General features: G+C 39.0%; 2 long non-coding RNA genes across 5 annotated transcripts in view; one reads left to right on the plus strand and one right to left on the minus strand.

The window, feature by feature from the left end:
- MSRB3-AS1 (MSRB3 antisense RNA 1) overlaps positions 1-21,285 on the minus strand; it is a 175,556-nt gene that overhangs the window by 134,160 nt on the left and 20,111 nt on the right. For 3 of the 4 annotated variants that reach the window (NR_120433.1, NR_120432.1, NR_120434.1), the window contains one exon: positions 12,203-12,301. The exons of the other annotated variant lie outside the window; for it this stretch is intronic. This is a non-coding gene — a long non-coding RNA (MSRB3 antisense RNA 1). The remainder of the gene's footprint in view (positions 1-12,202; positions 12,302-21,285) is intronic. 4 annotated transcript variants of the gene reach the window in all.
- On the plus strand, positions 1,893-12,011 carry LINC02454 (long intergenic non-protein coding RNA 2454). The gene is made up of 3 exons (NR_146529.1): positions 1,893-2,005; positions 5,052-5,253; positions 11,716-12,011. It is a non-coding gene; the product is annotated as a long intergenic non-protein coding RNA 2454 (long non-coding RNA).

A 21,285-nucleotide genomic window follows, 5' to 3' on the forward strand; every position in this document is an offset into this window, starting at 1 on the left:
AAGATGGTTCTTGAAGAATGGGGAGAATTTCCATAGATCTGGAGAAAGGATGGAGGAGAAGAGGAGAGGAGGATGCAGCTAGGTGAGGGAAATCAAAACAGTGGATTTTTGCAAATAGGAATGCACATAGTGTTGGTGGGACCATAAACAAACCAACATGAATGGCAAAGGCAGTTCATGTTGAAGAGTAGGAGGAAACACATTTGGAGACACAGAAAGGAACTGGGTTGAGGTAGGCAACTTAAAAATAGGCAGAAGCACTGAAATTTGGTGGAGTATAAAATAACCATTGAAGGCTTTTCAGAAAACATGTGGATAAACCATCTGTCACTAAACTACAGATGACTGAAATATACATCGACTGATTTGTTTTTTTACTATGCATATTGGGGTTTCTGTTCAGCATTTGTCCAGCTTTCAACAAATCTTTATTGAATACCTATTATATGCTGGACAATATGGAGAGTGATAGCACTACAGGACAGACAAGATCAAAATCGTTTCAATACTCCTGGATCTTATATTTCAGAATTATTCATTTTCATTATGTTCTTTTGGCCCAGATCACTGTATCTCAGATGGAAAAGTTTTCAGTAGAAGTGATATCTTCACCATTCTGGGTTTGTAAGTTTCTTTTGTTTAACTTAGCCTTCCGGGAAGTTGATACTTGAAGACACAGCACTGTAATCCAGGAGACGCCTTGTCCGACTGCTCCAAATTGGTCAGGAGCCTCTCAGCAGTGCCCTTGACACCTTGTGCTTCTCCTTATTTCTAGATAGCATTTAGAAATAGCATAGTTTTGTCATGTCCACTTTCTTGGCATCTGCTATCTACTCCAACTAGATCATGAAGCAGGATATCCCAACATCTCTGTAGTACCACCGGAGGTGATCGACAAATGTTGGTTAAATGAAATTAATGAATGGAGGGGATGGATATGACTTTTCTTTACCTGAATATGTTTTTCTCTGGGGCAAGTTTTTGGTAGAGAAAAGTAGGGCTAATGTAAGAGAGAAAGATAAGTTCCTTCTTTATATATGCGATAACATTTTTGAAATGTAACTGTGCTTGGCTTTTCTTGTAAGACTAATTGGAATGTGGTTACAGAGCTGGATATCTTGTTTAAAGGTGATTTAAAAATGACAGATCCCATACATTTTTTCATTTCCTTAACAGCTGCAATGTTAGCCTACTCCATAAATCACAACAGTTGGTTCTATCTTAATGCCATAGGTATTTCAGTAATATAGACTGTTCAATAAATTATTGGGTAGTTATTAGAACGAGGTAAATTTGACTTAACATCTTAATTTGACTTAGGCATCTTCCTGGAACCTTCTTGCTCTGAGGTTTGGATGAAAAACACTTTGGATATCACCGTGAGACTTGCTACTTCCGATTCATTGTCTAGTATTCTCCTTGGCAGCTTTGCAAAACAAATCTTGGAAAGCTCCTAGAGAAAGCCATTCTTTTTAGAAAACTTGGAGTCTTTTGAATTCACGCTGGATGACAATGACAGTGAATGAAAGTGTTTGTCCTGTTTGTATATTTGCCTGCTGCTTTGCTCATTCACTCGCTATTCATTTTTTCCAATGGATTATTTATTTATTCAATTTTCAAAACTTAGCAAATATCCTAGATTTCAAAGTATCCTTGTACCCTATGGTTATGGGAATGTGTCAGCCAAACTCTAGGTGGCGCTCCACATCGAATTTAGGAGGCAGGGGAAGGAGTGTGGCAGTGGAGCTCTCAGGATGGCGTCAGAACCACAGAACACCCAGGCTGATCCCGAGAGCTTCCCGTGTGGGGGCGGAGGGTGGGGCAGAGCAGGATGTGTGCTTGGGTTTCACTTGGAAAAAACATACATCATATTGCAATATAATTTACTTTGAGATTTCAATTTGGAAAATGGCATGGAAATAATCCAGCTTGAACATCGTCCTCCTCACCTCCTGGACTAGGGCGAGGGCCCCTTATATTTCTTCATGGCAATTGTGTCACAGTTGTAAGTATTAAAGTATTTGCTTAATTATTTGTTTGATATCCGCCCACTTTGGACTGTAAATTTCACAAGGCAAGGACCTGGCTGCATGGCTCATAGCTATTTGCCTGCTGTCTATCACAACACCTAGCAAGTGACAGACGGTCAATAAATGTTTGTTTTGTTTGCTTATTTGGCTGCTGCTCCATTCATTTGCTTCACTGGGTTATTCATTTTTTCATTCCTTCGTCTCCACCCTTCCCTTCCTGCTCCACCCTACCCTTATCTTCCATCCCCCACTCCAACTCTCCCAGTCCTCCCAGCCCTCCCATCTACCCCATTCCCCACCCAGTCCCACCCTCATTTATCATAAGTCTTAAAAGTTAAGAAACCTAAGGGGGCTGTAGTGGGGTGGGGCAGAAACTAAATGTATGAAAGCAATCTTTAAATAGTCGGATTCTCAAAATCCGGAGAAAGAGTATTAAAAGGTAAGAAAGCAACAGTTTTGCCAATGCAAAAGGGAAAGTGTGGCCCCCTCAGCGGTCATTTCCCCATGCACTATGGCTTTCCTAAGCAGGTGCTGCACCTCCTGGGTTTTGGCAACTGGATGCAGAAGACCGGCAGAACTCTTTCCTCTGAATGGTCTGGACTGGGGACAATTGGCTGGAATCACAAGTGGCTTCTTTGCTCACTCTAGCGGTACTTCAGCTTTCATAAACAGCCGGTTCCTGGAGCTGTAAGGTTCCAGCACATCGGGGATTTCCCTTTGTTAGATCCTGACCCGCAGAGCTGTGTCCCAAGCCAAAACTGTTGTGTTCACCTCTTAAAAGGCTTTCAAAGAAGGAAGGGAGGGAGGGAGGGAGGAAGGGAGGGAAGGAGGAAGGGAAAGAAGGAAGGAAGGAAGGAAGGAAAAATTCTGGAAAATATCAGTTGTTATTCACAGACACCTAACTTGCCATTTTTAAAAACACATTTTAAAGTTGATATGAATCGAAAAAAAAGTTATTGTGATATTGGCAGTCAGCTCTCTACTGAAATGATGTGAGTGGAAAAACAAGAGTTTGGAAGAATGCGTCCCCCAAAATTCTTACATTGTTACCAACCACAGAAACAAAACATAGTGCTGGAAAGGAATTTCAAGTCATAGATGCCAAACCCCTGATTGTGTAGATAAAAATAATGAGGCTCTGAGGTAAGTGACTTGCTCAAAGCCACTCAATTCAGGAGTTAGAGCCAAAATTCATGACTTCTGGCCAATTCTGGGCCCTTGCCACTCCACAAGCTGCAGTTTTTCTGTTTTAGCTAAAATGAGTTTCAAACAGCCTATCCACCATAAATGTATTTCTTCAACTCTCATTCTCTTGTATAAGGCCTTACAGGGGACCCAACTTCTAATGTTGAAGGAAAAATATTGCATCTTTTAAAAAATGGTCAAAAGGAAAGGAAACTTCTAGGCATATAAATGTCACATCACCCTGTAAGTAGGAACCCATCATTATTGTGTGGGTAAGAAAGAAATAATTAAAGAAACCAATTTCAGTTAATTCCACATGTAGTGTATGCCTTTGAAAAGCATCCAAAATATTTTCCAAACATTCTCACATACACTGCACACATCTGTCCTATGTAACCTGAAAATGATTTACCCTTGTGAAATCATTTGCACAAACCTGCCAACCTTATGAATGATTTTGTTTGTCTACTGTCTCAAAATAATTGATCTTACATACGTTAAGCTAATTAAAATAGCCAGGCCCTTTCTTTGCAGAAAATCCACAAGCCCTCTTTCAATTATGCTTCTGAGGTCAGGAAAGCAATTCTTATGGAAAAGTAGGCTAGAATTTGCTTCAATTTATTAAGATAAAACATAAGAATGTATTTTTAATGCATTGATAAAAAATTCACCAAAATATTAGGTATTTTTAGTCAGTCTCCAACTTACTAAAGGGTCATATTCCAAAAGTTAGTGGATAAATGAGTTGTCTGGAATTTGGAGTGTATTTTCCCATAAAAACAGTGCTACCCATAGGAGTTAGTTCCCAGGCCACCCTTTAAGTGCTATTTAACCCATAGTGTAGCAGCCTATTGTGCACTTAAAAATTATTATTTTAATTTTGTTATTATTAGTTAACTGGCTCAAAAGTAACTGATTGATTTAGAGGCTGTTTTAGATGCTGACATCAGGAAAACCAGTTTCGATTATAGATACTTGAGATAGTAGTTGGAGACTTTTATGTCATTTCTGTAGAAGGCTTTGACGTACTTTGGAAACTCTAAAAATAGATGATACTTAATTTCATCTGCTTACTTATGACTAAAGGAGGAAACAGAGAGAAAAGCCTTGGCCCCTGCTCAACTTCCACCACTATTAGGAAAAGAAGACAAGAAATGGGATAAAAGGAAAAGAGAAAAGAAGTTAAAATTGTGTGCATGTATGTGCATGCAGAGATTAACTTAGCAGTGAACAATGAGGAAATGAGGAAATTGAGGCACACACAAGAAAGGAGATAGGAAGAGATATTGGTCTGAGACTTCTTTGTGTTGTTCACAAAGTGGCAGTGATGACCTCTAGAAAGTTCAGAAGAGAAAAGGAAAGTTTTAGCAGGTACTCTGTGAACTTATGTTTAGGATATGTAATAAACAGAAGTTGTTACTTGGGGACATGAGTTAACTGATTTAAGAATTGGACTCTCAGTTTGAATCCATACACATCTATGGAAGACCTACAGTGTTTCAAGAGCTGAAATATAGGACTAACTGCAAAAATTATCTGGCAATAACCCTTTACCTTGCAGAGATAATAATAGCTAGCATTTTTGACTCATTGTAACTCATTTAATCTTCACAATGACTCTATAAAGTAGGTATTAGTATTATTATTATTATCCCATTGTGTAGATGAGGAAACTAAGACACAGAAAGGATAAGTAATTTGTCTGAAGTCACATGGCTAGTAAGTGTTGGGGCTACCATGTGAACCCAGGTAGTGTGGGGATAGAACTTGTGCTCATAACCGCCATGCTATACTCTGCCCTAACGTTCTCTGGTCAACATTCTTATCTCTTGTCAGCAAACGCTCGTACCCTGACTCCATCTGGGATTTGGAATGCACTCAGGGAAGTGGCTGTGCATGGAGACTAGAAATGGAAGAGGCTTCCAAGGTCATGCCTTTCAGGCTCCCTTCAAATTCTACAGCTACTGTGAAGAGAGTTGCATTCCCACAGAGAACATGTCAGACTGGAGGAAAATTGTGACAAAAGGTCTCCCCAAAGGTCTCTGAAACTTCGATCTTATCTCATTCCACAAGGCAAAGGCCAGTTTCCTAAATCAAAGAATGAAACAAAGTACATCTTTTTCAAGCATTGTTTTGACATCACTCCCTTTTATACAACTGGACAGGCACTCCCATTCTCTTTAAATAATTTTTAAACACTCCTGAACTTTGGCTTGGAGATCCTCATTTGAAATGATTTTATCACTCTAGACATACTAGCTCATATTTTTTAACTTCAACCTGGCAAAAGTTAATATCCCTCATAAAACTCTACCCACTCTCTTCTCTAAGTATCACATAAACCACTCTTCCTGATTATACATGCCCCATCTTGAGCCATATCCATTACTCTGTCAACTTTCCCTGGAGGTTAATCTGCTAGTGAGAATTTAAGTGGACTCCTGGGGTGGAGTATTCTACAATGGATGGAACTTGGATTCTGAAGTCAGTCAGTTCTGGTTCAAATCCCAGTTATTCCATTTACTAGCTGTGTCATGTTGGGCAAGCTATGTAACCTCCCTAAATCGTTGTTTCCTCACCTAGAATATGAATACAATATTAATAGTACTGGTATAACAGTTGTTCTGAGAATTAAATAAGATATTGCATATAAAGAACTTAGTTCAGAGTAAACACATTATAAAATTCAACACATGTTAGTCCCCATGATTACAATTCTTTTGGAGCACAAAATAATCAGAGATATGTAAAAAAGATGGTTGTGAAGAGATGTTTATGTACCATTTTTATAAGAGTAAAAAGTTGGAAACAATTTATGCCCAACCATGGTTGACTATGCAACCAATTATAAGTCATGTTCTGAATGTTGGGAAATATCAAGATTGTATTAGTGAGTATTAAAAAAAAACATAAAACCTGCAGAGCATCAAATCTGAGAGGGAAAGTATATGCATAGAAAAGAGATTTGAAGAACCTACATCAAAAAGTAGATTATAATTATCTCAACAGAGAAAAGGTATATGGAGTATAGATGGGTACTGGGATTATGAAGATTTTTAAAATGTTTTGTATTTTTCTGTGCATCCTAAATTTTGTACCTTTTGTAATTAGGAAAATTACATGCTGTTGAAAAATAATGGATGAAGTTTAGCCTTCTCAGATGATCTCCTTCTGGCTCCAATTAATTCAGACCTCCAGCTTATCCACTTCCTTTATTTCCTTTTTCACTCTCTACAGATTTATGTTTCCTCTGCACAGCTGCAGTTGGTTTCAAATATTTGGCAGAGACTGTAGTTGGTGTTTAGATATATTTATGTGGGTTCTCTCTCCCTCATCAGACTGCATTTCCACGAGAGTATCTTCCCTATATTTTCTCTGTAATTGTGCATAGTGGCTTGGAAGCTCTTTGTCCCAAAAGTTAACTGATTGAGGTCATTGTAAACAATGCAAGAAGAAAAACTTGCTTAACTTGTTTCATTATTAACATTAACTGGGAGCTAAGGTTCGCATGTTAGGAATGGAGGGGTTTATAGACTGGTTGGGAATTAGGCCCTGTGCCCGAGGCAATGCTTTGTGTTTATGCAGCTATTTCATTTCCTCCTGGAACATAGGAATACCAAGGCCTCTTGCATTGAGGAAGGGTTACATGACTGGTTCTGACAAGCAAAATGGAAGCAGATGTGGTGTGCACCACTTCCAGACCCCAAATCATTTTACATATTCCTTTATCAATTCTTGCTTCCCCTGCTGTCTGCTGGCTGGATAGTGCCAGGGTGAACTTGAAGCCACAGTATGGTAGAGCCACAAGATGGAAAGAACCTGGGTCCCTGAGCTTCTGCTTAGAGAGGAACCACTCAAGAGAATTATCTGAACAGAAACATCTGAAATGAACAGGGTCAGTGAGAAAGATAAGACTCTTATTACATAAAAGCATTGAGATTTGAAGGCTATTTATTCTTGTAGTAACCCTATCCCAACTAACAACAGAAAATTATACAAATAGTAAAAGAATTCAAGATAACATATTTTAAGTGTCAAACCAATGGAATATAATTTTTGAATTTGCCTAATATTTTACTGTTCTCCCAAATCATTTGCTTCCCTACCTTATTCAATTCTCTAAGAAACCTTGATGAGTCTATCTTTGTGTCACAATTTAAGAAACTGGACTTAGAGTTGTTACATTCTTTGACCTAAGCTAGAACCAAAATTTTCTGACTCCAAATACTGTACTCTTTGCCTTTAGGCATAACTACTATAAGAGTGACTAATGACTAAATTATTTATAGAAAAGATGTTTTGCCTAAATTGTCTAGGGAGTAATTTTTTGAACACTGGTTCCACCAGCAGCTAATAAATGTCCCAAGAAATAGAGTTCCAAGGCCAAATGAGTTTGGGAAACACTGGGTTAAACAAATGTGACCAGGAGTCTTCTACTTACTGCCAAGCTCTCAGAGCCTTTAACTTACAATTTGGAGGCTCATAGGGAGCCTATGCAGCATATCCCATACACCTGACCACAGAATTCTTTGATGATAGAGCCATCGTCAGGAGCAGAGTGTGCTGAAACATGCCTGAGAAAGGTTTTCTAGATAACAGCTCTCGTTCTCCACTGCACCCTGGTTCCACTTTAGTCTATTCACTTCTTAGAGTACATTTCTCAGCTAATGTTGGGAACAACAAAATTCTCTAGTAAGCTCATGTAACCAAGATCAAATGGGACTTCCAGGAGATTTTTTTTGTTTGTTTAGACGGAGTCTGAGCCCTGTCACCCAGGCTGGAGTGCAGTGGCACGATCTTGGCTCACTGCAACCTCTGCCTCCCGGGTTCAAGCCATTCTCCTGCCTCAGCCTCCCGAGTAGCTGGGATTACAGACATGTGCCACCATACTCAGCTAATTTTTTGTATTTTTAGGAGAGATGAGGTTTCACCATGTTGGCCAGGATAGTCTCGATCTCTTGACTTCATGATCTGCCCACTTCGGCCTCCCAAAGTGCTAGGATTACAGGCGTGAGCCACCACGCCTGGCCCCAGGAGATTTTTTTTCAATTGCATTTATTTTTGAACCTATCCCAAGTAAGAGCAGGACACATTCATTGCACCTGGAAGGTAGAAAATATAAATAGAAGAAAGAGAGGTGCAAATCAACCCACTTCTATTCAACCCACCAGCATAGTCAACCTGTGACATTTACTACCATGGGGAGCTGCTGAGGCAGGGTAGAGTTGGATTTGAGGAAGGATTAGATAATTTTATGAGCATGACTAACATTTAAAGCTATGTGAGCTAAAACAAAAAAGATACGAGGAAATGAAGTCTCATGTTCCAGGATGTAAATTGATCACATGTGGAAGGAGGGGCAAAAGGAATTCCCACCTCGCAATCCAGCGTGGGATATTACAGAATGAGCCAGTTGCAATAGGCTTGACTTTCCCTCTTTATTTTCCTTTTCCTTTTCTCTGGTACATCTGATTCTGGCTAAACAGTAGGTGGGGATATTAGCCCTGACAAATAGCGATTTGATCCCACAGGGCAACTCCTATTGAAAACCAAGATAACACAAATATTTTCAATTCTTCAAGTTGAACCTAGACTAAGTATTTTGTTTTGCGGGTGATCCCTCTGTTCTTTTATTAAGAGAAGATCATTTTATGAGAACTAAGAATATTTGCATTCCTAGCATTTAAAATTCTCAACAAACACATTGCTCAAGCAAATAAAAAGAATAGAACCAAGTAAGGTAAGATCTTCTTAATTAGTTGAGACTTTTGAGCAAGGATGAATCCAGTCTTGAAGTACTGGCAATTTCAAAATACTCATTTTACCTTAAACGTACAAATAAAATGTGTTTCTGAGCTGCAGTATTCTGAGCTTGGTGATGATTGAAGGCCCTGGAAGAGGGGATGGCAGATTTTATTGGGCTGGATGGGTTCTCACCCGCCATCTCCCCATGGGAAATTTTGTAAAAATATTCAACTCTAATGGTTCAGTGAAAAGCATTTGGGCCTCAGGGAATCAACGGGAGCTAAGTTTTATAGAGTGAATCCCATCTGGGACTAGAAGAATTAAGAAACAGAACTATGGGAGACAGGCAACAAGAGGAATAGCAATATCAGCCCCATGGTACAAAAAGTTAGTCTTTCATTGTATAAGCAGTGCTATGATTTCCTGCATTAAGATTACAAAAGCAATCAGATCAGAGATTGTGGACTTTTTTCATTATAGGATTTGAGTTGACCCTTTCTTCAACTATGAATTCTTTGGTTGGGGAACAGCCCTGATTTCCAATATGAACCCTAAATATCATTTGCTTCAGGAAGGATTTTTCCTGTTGGTTCTTAGCAATGTTTCTGAACTTGTGGCAATGGTTGTCTATACAAAATTGACTACTCCATTCTCTTATCCCTTCCTCCCTAGCATAGACCACTTCTCATTATAAAACTTTTTTTTTTTTTTTTTTGAGATGAACTCTTGCTCTGTTGCCCAGGCTGAAGTGCTGTGGCACAATCTCGGCTCACTGCAACCACAGCCTCCCGGGTTCAAGTGATTCTCCCACCTCAGTCTCTCAAGTAGCTAGGATTACAGGTGCGTGTCACCCATGACCAGATAATTTTTGTATTTTTAGGAGACATGGGTTTTGCCATGTTGGCCAGGCTGGTCTCAAACTCCAGACCTCAAGTGATTCTCCCGCCTCAGCCTCCCAAAGTGCCGGAATTACAGGCATGTACCACTGCACCCGGCCTATAAAACTTAAAATTCCAAACAGGCATCTAGTTTTGCAGCCTTATCTTGCACCTAGAATTGACTATGTGACTCAGTTGTGGCCACTTCTGGCTTGGAGGATGCTAGGAAATATTTTCCTTTTTGGATAAAAGGAGAGAAATATGGGAGGAGAGTTGTGTTTTCTGTTTGTTTGTTTGTTTGCTTGCTTGCTTGTTTGTTTTTCTGGCTATCCCTTCTCTCTCCTTGACATAGTGGGGAAAGAATGTGGCATTTCATACTGTGGCAATTATTTTGTGACCATGAGATGACAAACTTGAGGATCAAAGGCACCATGGTATCATTGACAAGATGGAAGGGGAGAAAAATCTTGAGTTCATAATGACATCCCTGAGCCACTACAACAACCCTGAGACCATGAGCCTGTTGATTTCTTGAAGCCACTTTTAGATGGATATTCTGTTACAGCCCAAAGCCTTCTAACTATTAAATACACCCAGTGAAAATGTGGCTATGTGTTCCAATAGAGCACAGAACCCCAAAGAAACACACGGCCTGTGACTTCTGGTCATATCGAATCACTGATATTCCCTGATGTACACTGGCATATTTCTCTTGGAAAAAATAGCGAACCAGGGCTTCCTTGATGGTTGTCTGAGAATTCATTGGCTAATACTGGCAGAGCCTAAGGCCATGAACATGCTCATCATTACTAAGGAGGCAGCAATCCTGGAGGTTGCAATTCAACATGAGAAAGAAAAGGAGGATTTTGCTCCAAATTCCACACAAGGTTTCCTTCCCTCTTTTTCTCATTTCCCACAATCTTACCCTTTTCTTTGTGTCTTATTTTGGCTTCAGAAAACCTCTTTACCTTTTCATTTTCCAATTCTGATGTTACTTAATTCTTCAATATGGTAAAGCAATAAAAAGAAAGCTGGCTGATAATCTGAGAGCAGTGCCAAAAATGTATGTTTGGAATGTTAGGACTTTATCGAAAAATACGACTTTATTGAATAAGCAGAAATTTTGTTAAGCTCCAAAGGAATCTAACCATCTCCCCTCCCCCACCATCACTGCCTAAATTTCACATCCTCTGATAACTTAAGTGCCTTCCCAGACTGGCATATCTTCTAGTCTGCATATCCTAAACTACAAATCCAATACTATCGAGTGACTGGAAATGGTACAACTCAAAAGGCTAGGAAAAATCCTGCTCTATGGAAACACATTCATTTTTAAAATTTCTTTATTTCAAACGTTTCCATCCTAATTTCCCTTCTTGAAGAATTTTCATTATACATGAGCAGGGAATTATGATGTGTGTCATATTTTATAACTTAGCTAATTTGAAGATACTTTTTTCTTTTACATCTGTTAGATTTTTAAAAAAAAAAAAGTGTATTATACTTTAAGTTCTGGGATACATGTGCAGAATGTGCAAGTTTGTTACACAGGTATATGTGCCATGGTGGTTTGCTGTGCCCTTCAACCCGACCATCCTGAGCTCAAAGCCCAGAATCAGAGCTGATGAGTAACCAAGGAATTCAGATTTTAGTACTGAAAATAATGTATAGGAAATTCCATTGTTCTGGAGGACAAGAATTTAGCATTCATAGCTGAAATGTGTAAGAGGAAAAAAATTGCCAGAAAAATGCTGTTTGCAATGCTGTGAGGGTCTGCTCTAAATGGTGTTTCTTGTGGGAGGGACTTGGTGTGACGCGGTGTTGTGTGTTTTGGTTTTTGGTTTTCATCTGGAGGCTTTTTTGCTTTTGTTTCTCAGATCGAGGAAAGGAGGTTTGCCTGAAAAGGAGCCAGAGTGGTTCCGCCCAGACTGACGTGCTTCTGGCAGCCGGTGTGTACTGCTTGGTGACTGCTCTTTCATTTCAGGTGGTGATTTACCAAATGCCGCTTTTTTTCTGTATGACACAGGCGTGGCCAAACATAGTCACCACTCAGAATGTTGGGGAAGTTTCTCGTCCCCATCAAACAGAGGGAGCAACCCTTGGTGGTTCAACAATGAAGCCTCCATTAGCTGAGAAGTCTAACTGTGATTTATCATTCCCTACCTATAAAGATTGTAAACAAATCAGGAAGCTTTCTGAGTCTCTTAGTCCTCTACTTCCAGGTAGAAGTGGTAAGAATGTCAACCTTCCCTCACAACATTGTAAGAAGGAATGATTATTTGAATTGATTATAAAAAGATGCTCTGCATTATTCATCATTAGGGAATTGCAAATTAAAACAACAAGGAGATAACGGCTACATACCTATTAGGACGGCTAATATCCAAAACGCTGACAGTACCAAATGGTAGAGCAACAGGAACCCTCCTTCATTGCTGGTGAAAATGTAAAATGGTTCGACCACTGTGGAAAACAGTTTGGCAGTTTTTTACAAATCTAAACACACTTTTATCATATCATTCTGCAATCATGCTCCTTGATATTCTCCCAAATGAGTTGAAAACTTAGGTCCACCCAGAAACCTCTGCACAAAAGTTTATAGCAGCTTTATTCATAATTGCCAAAACTTAGAAGCCACCAAGGTGTCCGTCAATAGGTGAATGGATAAATAAACTGTAGTATATTCATACAGTGGAATAGTATTGAGCACTTAAAAAAGAAAAAGAGCTATTAAGCCACAAAAAAGAAACGGAGGAAGCATAAAGGCATATTACTAAGTGCAAGAAGCCAATCTGAAAAGGCTACAGACTGTATGATTCCAACTATAAGACATTCTGGGGAGGTAAAATTATGCAGACAGTAAAGGATCAGTGTTTGCCAGGGTTTTGGGAAGATGGAAGGAGGAATTAATAGATGGAACACGGGATTTTTAAGCCAATGGAACTATATTGAATGACACTGAAAGGGTAGCTACATGGCATGATAGATCTGTCAAAGCCCACAGACTGTACAACACAAACAGTGAACCATATGTAAACTGTGGGCTTTGGTCACAAAGAGCGAACTGTAATGTAAACTGTGGACTTTGGTTGAACATGAGGCATCAATATTACTTCATCAGTTGTAACAAAACATACTGTGACATGTTGGTGGTGGAAGGGGCTGGGTGTGTGTTGGGGGATGGTTATGTGGAAACTGTACTTTCTGCTCAATTTTATTGTGAGCCTAAAACTTGTAAAAAATGAAACTTATTAATTAAAACTAAATCGATTTTAAAATCTAGATAAAAGTTATTATGAAGCAGAAAGTGAATATAATCATATAATTATATAAATTAATAAAAATAATTGTTGAATGCATGCTTTAGGATTAAGTTCAGTTGTACACAACACAGAAAACAACAACAAGTGTGGTTTAGACAAGATAGAAGAATATGTTTCTCATGTATGCAAAATAAGCCTAGAAGTAGGCAGTCCGGAGTTGGAATGGTGACTCCACAGAGACTTTGGGGACCAAGGCTTCTGGCTTTGCTGAGACTCCCATCTCAGCATCTTACTCCCATCTCTTGGTCTGATATAATTGCCAGAACTCCAGCCATTACATCTGCATTCTAAACAGCAGAGAGCGAGGAAGGAGGAAATACTGGCATGCCTCCTCCCTTAAATGCAGACTTACAGGAAGTTTCATATTATAGTTCTGCTTTTATCTTATTGGTCAAGAACTTAGACAAATTGGCACATCTACCTGTGAAGGAGTCTCACAATTTTTTACCTGTTGAATGTACACAAAATTTAAAAAATCTGCAGAGAGGTCCAGCTAAAAATCAGGGCTCTGTTTCTAAATAAAAAGAAAGAAAGGGATGTTGGAGTAGGCAGCTAGCCATCTGAGACTTTGAGCAACTGTTGCTAAGTTAAAAATACAGTGCTAGAGGCAGAGGATGAAAAACACATTAGATCAATAGGAGAAATAAACATGCAAGCACGCGGCTATTATATATGGTGGCAATTTGTTAATGGCACAAGGATTTCAAAAGAGGATGTGCGTATGCCCAGTTGGGATTGATCAGAGAAGCCCTCCTAGAGGGAAGGATATTTTACAAAGACCTAGAAGGATGGAGAGAATTTGAATGGTAGGAAGTGGTGGAAAAAAAGGCAAACTTGGCATAGGAAATGGCATGAGAGAAAGCAAGTTGTTATTTGATAAAGAGGGATATGCCTGTTATTGGTGCATTTTATAGTCTGCACAGATACAGAAAGTGCCTAGGCAGGAAGAAGTTTATGTCTGTAGTTTGGACATCTACCCCAATGACATCAGTTTCTCTATTCACAATCTGTCCATCATTCCCATGGGGTGGGAGGTGAGGAAGAATTCCATTCAACAACACACACTTAGAGTATCTCAGGCAAAGAGACTTTTTTTCTTTTGTATTTATGATAAAACACCCAAATATGTATCCAAGTGGGATTACCAGCCTGGGTTGGATCCAAGAGACTTTGGTTACTAGAACTATTTCTCATCATAAATCCCCAAACAAGTTGAGTTTTTCACTTCCTCTCCTAATCTGCCATGGAGCACAGCCGAGTTGCTTGAAGTCATCTACTTCTTGGCAGTGGCTACAATTCCAAGATGATGGAACGATTCTTTTCCATATACATCATTATTATTTCTAGTATAAATATTTATCAAGCACTCACTGTGCAATAGAGAAGAGCTCCTGCTTGGTGGTCTTTCCAGCTGAACAAAACAAACATGAGTAGAGGTTGAGGGAAGAGGTGGGAAGAGAACCTCAGCTGGTGGGAAACAATAGGAATTGCTTCCCCACCCCACCTCCTTTTATTCATGTTGGATGTTGTTTGGACTTGACTGCCATATTTCAGATACGTAAAATGTGTTTTTATTTGTTTAACATATGCTTTATAGGGCTTACCATGTGCTGTGCACTGTTCTAAGCTCTTTACAAATATTAACACATTCAATCCTCATAGAATCCTGTGAAATAAGTCATTTTATTATCCCTATTTGCAGATGAGGAAACTGAGGCACACAGTAATTTGCCCAAGGTCGCTAACTGGGCACAGTGACTCTAGAGCAACACTGTTCAGTAGAACTTTCCCTGATGTCAGAAGTGTTCCATATTTGCGCTGCCCAATAGGGTAACCACTGGATACGTGTAGCTGTTGAGCACTTGAAATGTGGCTTGTATGACTGAGGAAGTGAACTTCTGAAAGTTCAGAAGGCCACCCACCTCACCCTCCCAAAGTGCTGAGATTACAGGCATGAGCCACCACACCCAGGCCGCCTTTCTTTCCTTTCCTCTCCCTTCCTCCCTCCCTCCCTTTTTTCTTTCTTTCTTTCTTGCTTGCCTGCCTGCCTTCCTTCCTTCCTTCCTTCCTTTTCTTTCTCTCTCTTTCTTTCCATCCCTCCCTCCTCTCTCTCTCTTTCTTTCTTTCCTTTTCTTTTCCTTTCTTTTCTTTTCTTTTTCCTTCCTTCCTTCCCTTTTCTCCTTCCTTCCTTCTCTTCTCTTCTCTTTTCTTTCTCTTTCTTTTTTTGAAGGAGCAAGAGCCAAGAATATAGAGATTCTTTTGTAAAACAGTGATCCTTCCTGGTGCATTTGCTGTTTAATTATGATAAACAACATGAGATATAAGTTTATAGAAAAATATGAGCAAGTCACTCAGGTGGTGCCATTCTCTATTCCCTGGCTATTAAATAGGACTACAAAAAAGCTCTATCTCCAATGCAAGTTTTCTCACAATTGGTAGCAGATGAGGAGGTCAAAGAGGAGAAATCAACGGCTGGTTAGGTCATGCACATTTGGTAGCACAGACCATTGTTAAAAGCAAAAAGCAACATTATAGTATCTGGTGCCTGCTTGGGAAAATGAAGAGCAGGACAAGGTCATGTGTGTTATCTTGCTGTCATCAAGACTACTACTCCCTCTTTTCTCTCTTTCCCTCCCATCTTAATGCTTCTCTACTTTACTCAGCTTTCATGGTTAAACTCAAATTCCACTTCTTCCTTGAAAGCTGCCCTCCTGTCTCCATGTGAAAGCATCCTCCCTACAATATGACTGTATGTTTCTTCTGGTACTCAATGGGTTCTATACTATATAATAGCTAAGTAAGTACAAGTCCTAACTCTCCTACTTACTCTCAACTCTTAAAGGTCTGATTTCTGTTTGTATTAATTTTCTGTAAAACTTCATACAAACCTGGGCAACATAGTGAATGAGACCCTGTCTCTATTAAAAAAAAAAAAAATTAGCCAGGCGTGGTGGCACGCACCTGTGGTCCCAACTACTCAGGAGGCTGAGGCAAAAGGATCGCTTGAGTCAAAGAGGTTAAGACAGCAGTGAGCCATGTTCACACCACTGCACTTCACCCTCAGCGACTGAGTGAGATGTGCTCACATTCCATAGATTATTTTAACTTTCATCCCTGTTTCCCTATTTCTAGCATGCACTTCTATGATAGCATTAACAGTATTGTATTGTAAAATTTGATGATCGTATCTCTCCCCAAGACTGTAAGCCCTTTTAGAGTAGCACCTACCTTAAAATAGTTGCTCTATAAATGGCAAGCAACTATTTTCTGAATGAATGGTCATTCTCAGAAATTTGTAGTATATGTAGTATGTTTGTCTTTTGTCTAAAACAAAATGGATCCCTCCTCCAATGAAACTCTTCTATATTAGTATTAGATTAAGCACTAGGTAATATCAAACTAACTTCAGCATTTTATAATAGCCCTGCTGTAAGGAAAGACAATGCATAATTGTCCTAGAGAATGAGGCCATTTTCAGCTAGCTGTGGTGGCTCACACCTGTAATCCCAACACTTTGGGAGGCTGAGGCAGGCAGATCACTTGGATTGGGAATTCAAGACCAGTCTGGTCAACATGCCAAAATTCTGTCTCTACTAAAAATACAAAAATTAGCCAGGCATGGTGGTGTATGCCTATAATTCCAGCTACTAGGGAGGGTGAGGCACGAGAATCACTTGAACCCGGGGTGTGGAGGTTGCAGTTAGCAGAGATCACACCACAGCACTCCAGCCTGGGTGACAGAGTGAGACTCTGTCTCAAAACAAACAAACAAGCAAACAAACAAACAAAAAGAGAGAGAATGAGAACATTTCTTGCTTAACCTTGTCCAAAGGACATAGGTCATCCAAAGAGGTTTGAATTTTAGGGTACTGCACAGAACCCAGAATAGAAAAGAAGTGTGAAAACTGGCAAGACATTGCAATTTTCTACAAGTATGTAAAGCTCAAACTAAAAAAGAACATTTTTGAGAATTTTAAGAAGTATATGTGAAGGATCCTCTGACATTAGTTTTAGTGAAGGAAGGGGCAGAGATAGACCAAGATCACTTTAGCAACCTATAATTTGGTTTAATTGATCGAGCAGGGAGAAAAAAGAAAGGAGAAAAAGAATAAGGAGATCGTGAAATTGAAAAATGTAAAATACTGTAACAGAAATTACTGTAGCTTTGCTTTGAGTAGTACTGGAAAAGTTTGTTATACTAGGAAATAGTCATATAAATGGAAAGATGGTTTTTCATGTCTTTTATGACTTGTTGTAAATGATTAATTAAATACTCTGAGTGTTTCATTAAATATATGCATTCCTTCCAAATTAAAGTGTGCAGAGACTCGTTATAAATAAATTCATTGGGTGAATGAAAGGAGCATTTACTTCTAAAGGAATATTACTGGCAAATTTCATTCTTGACATTGATTAAATAAACTAAATTTATTTTAATGGCAATATGAGCAAATTACAAGGCTAATTAGTTTTCTACTTTAGTATTTTTACATTATTTAATGCATTTATAAGTGATCCAACAATTTTAAGAATTTTACTACATAAAAAGCATTTTGTAATAAAATGTGAAAATGAAAGAATGAATAAGACATGGTTCTCGCTTCACTCATTTTCTACTTTCACGCTTCATGGAACAATTTTAAGTGTCTACTATGAGCAAACCCTTTTCCTGAATGTTGCAGGCAATAGAAAGGAAAAATAAGACTTGTTTCTTCCCTCTAAAAGCTTGAAATGTCATGGCAAAAACATATGCACAAAATAACTTTAATGTAAGACAGACTTTGGTAAGTAAGTGCTAAAATAATAGAGGTACAAAGTGCTTGGGGAGTATAAGAAATGGAGGGATTAAGACTGATGGGGAGAGGATCAAGAAAGGCTTCTCGGAGGAGGAAGGGTTTGAGCTTGGCCTTGAGAGATGGCTGGAAATTTAACAGGAGGCTCTGGGCGGGGGAGGAGAAGAGAAAGGGGTTGTATGGTCTCTGGGTTGCAGGGTTGTTCTATAGCGGGGTTTTGGTGTTTCTCTGGACAATTTTCAACTGTCACATGGAAGAGATGTGTCACACAGAAAATACACAGAGCAACTAGAAACTGGTCTGAAAATACAGCCACGTGACTTCAGTGAAGAAACATATCAGGCCTGAAGTGTGGGCAACAACAGTGACAGGTATAATTAGACATTGAGCAGATCAGTGTTTTTTGATTAATAAGCTTGTTCTTCCTATACATTAACTCATGGGCCTGAAAGGAACTTCAGGAAGTTACTTAGGTCACCCCTGACTATGTTTTTTTTTTTAATTATTATTATTCTTCCCTTAGCCTCAGCCCTATAATATGAGCTCTTCAAATGCTCAGACCCTTGGGCTCTGCATGAGGACCAATACAACTAATAAAATATAGTAGTGGCAGCAGTTGAAGCCGCCTTGTGATACCACTATTTTGTAGCCATATTAATAATATTGTGTGAGAATTGAGGCAAGGGTTTTGTGAGTCTTTCAGGGCTGCCCTTCTTTTAATAAGCCCCTGACAAGTTACAGCTTCTGCTTGGGGTAAAAGCTGATCACAGGACTTATGCACAATGGCTTCCACCGCCTTGCCTTAACAATTTATCCCTATCTAGCTACCAATTAGAAGCCTAAAGTTATAGAATGCTAGCGCTGGAGTAGTTATTAGGATTAATCTAACCCAAGCCCTTTGTTTTTCATTTTACAATGGAGGAAAGAGAATCTTAGGGGAAGTGATATGCCTAAAGTCACACAGTTAATGATTGGCTTACCTGAACTAGAACTAGAATGTAAATCTCTAAGTTTCCTAACTTTCAAATCAGTTTCTCTCTCCTGCAGCACACTGCCTTTTTTATTTGCATCAACAGTGTATGTGTGTATGTGCATTAATATTTCTAAGAGTTTGGCTTAAAGCATTCAGTAGGTGCCCATAGAATAATGTATGTTAAGCCAGAGAAGTAAAATGCATTGGATCAAAACATTCTCACTTGGAAAAAACATTAGAATCCTGGGAATTTCTTGAAATGCAAGAAAGCTCAGCCTCCAGGACTTGCAGTGTAAACACTGTGGCTAATTTGTTGAAGTGAGATGCCATTGATGATTCTCCCTGCCTTGAGAGATGACAGGGCTCCTTCGCAGAAAAAGCTGATTGCTGTAGCAGATTGCTAGGGGAAGGCACATTGCAAAAAGTGATCAGGAAAAGACAAGACATGTTACCAAGACAGATCATTTTTCTTGAAGAGGAGTTAAAAAAAGACACTAAAAAGGAATTCCTCCCATAAAGTTTGTCTTTCAGAGAGCAACCATTTCTACAACTCCGTTCCTGCCTAAAGAAGCAGGCTGTAACCTGGAGCAAAGCTTGGAGAGGCTAGTACATCAGTTTTACAGAAGCAGTTCTAAGAATAGTGAATATGGATAATACAGACAGCAACCCAGACACTTGATCCATGCGTTTGCTACGTAAAAGTTGGATGAGAATAACTTTCAACAAATTTACTTTCCAGTGACTTGTTATTTTTTAAATTGTATTCTTATTAATAAAAATGATACTTTGATACTGGGTATGTAACCAAAGGAAAATAAATCATTCTACCAAGAAGACACATACCCTTGTATGTTTATCACTGCACTATCCACAATAACAAAGACATTGGAATCAACCCAGGTGCCCATCACCGGTAGATTGGATTAAGAAAATGTGGCACATATACACCATGAAATGCTACAAAGCCATACAAAAAGAATGAAATCATGTCCTTTTCAGCAACGTGGATGCAGTTGGAGACCATAGTACTAAGTGAATTCACGAAGGAATAGAAAGCCAAATACCACATGTTCTCACTTACATTAGGAGCTAAACATTGAGAACATATGGACATAAAATGGGAGCGATAGACACTAGGGACTACTGGGAGGGGGGCATGGGTTGAAAAACTACCTATCAGGCACTATGTTCACTACCTTGGTGATGGGGGCTGTACTCCAAACCTCAGCATGGTGCAATATTCACATGTAACAAACCTGCATGTGTACCCCCTGTATCTAAAATATAAACTGAAATTAGAAAAAAAACAGAAGCCAACACCATGAGGTTTTCAGCTCCCCCATAATCTCCATAACCCTCTTTAGTCCTAAATAAACATAAATGTAAGTAAAAATAAATAAATAAAAAATAAAGATGACACTGTTTCTCCACTTATTTTCTTATCAAAGAAAAATGGCCACAAGCCATTCTGTAGAATAAGCTGCCTTATAAGAGTTTTATCCTTTTGACGTGATTTGATTTGAGGCTGTCCTTCTTTTCATTTGCTTTTAAATTCTATGTACAATAGAATAATTCAATTCCATGGGATATTTTTAAAATTCTTGTTTCCATCCATCAGTGAGTACTTTTCTTCTATTGCTATGAGATAATTTTTATTCTAATTCTACATGAAAATGGCAAATCAGATGTTAGAGCAGAAAGCTACCTTAGCAACCATCTGCTGCGATGTCCTCATGTTCTAGATGTAGGAATGTCCAGGGATTTCTTGATTTTTGGTGGCTCACCCAGGGGAAGACAGGGCATAAAATCTAGCTAGGACACACTTTCTGCTCCTACTCCTGTGCTCTTTCACTGCCAGACATTTCACCTTCATTAGAACAGCGCCTTAAATCATGTTTGTCTTAGGAAATATACCTCACTTTTCATATTTTAATGTGCTCACTTTCAAGGAAGCTTTAGAAAAACCATGAAATGCCTTTTATTTTTAACTTTAATTTTAATGAAAGGTGAAATTTTCTTTCTATATTAAATTCCAGGTAGGAGAGTTACTATTAATAAGTTAGTTATGTTTATTTGTGGCTACATTAGTCAGATTTGGGCTATACTAATTCTGGGTAGCAAACAACTATGAAATCTTAGTGGGTTCAACAATAAAGTTTCACTTTTTGGCTAAGGATCTGTGCATTGGCAGGCTCTAGGTGAGTTCAGGTTTGCTCTACCTAATTTCTCACTCTGGTAGCTGACTGGGACTTGCTTGTTTCATGGCAGATGGCAAATGCCCAAGAGCGCAAACCGGACCATGCAAGTGCCATGAAGCCTCTGTTCAGAACACATCTGCTCACATCCCATTGGCCAGAA

The sequence above is a fragment of the Homo sapiens genome, chromosome 12 (assembly GCF_000001405.40).
Source record: "Homo sapiens chromosome 12, GRCh38.p14 Primary Assembly".
Classification (NCBI taxonomy): Eukaryota; Metazoa; Chordata; class Mammalia; order Primates; family Hominidae; genus Homo; species Homo sapiens.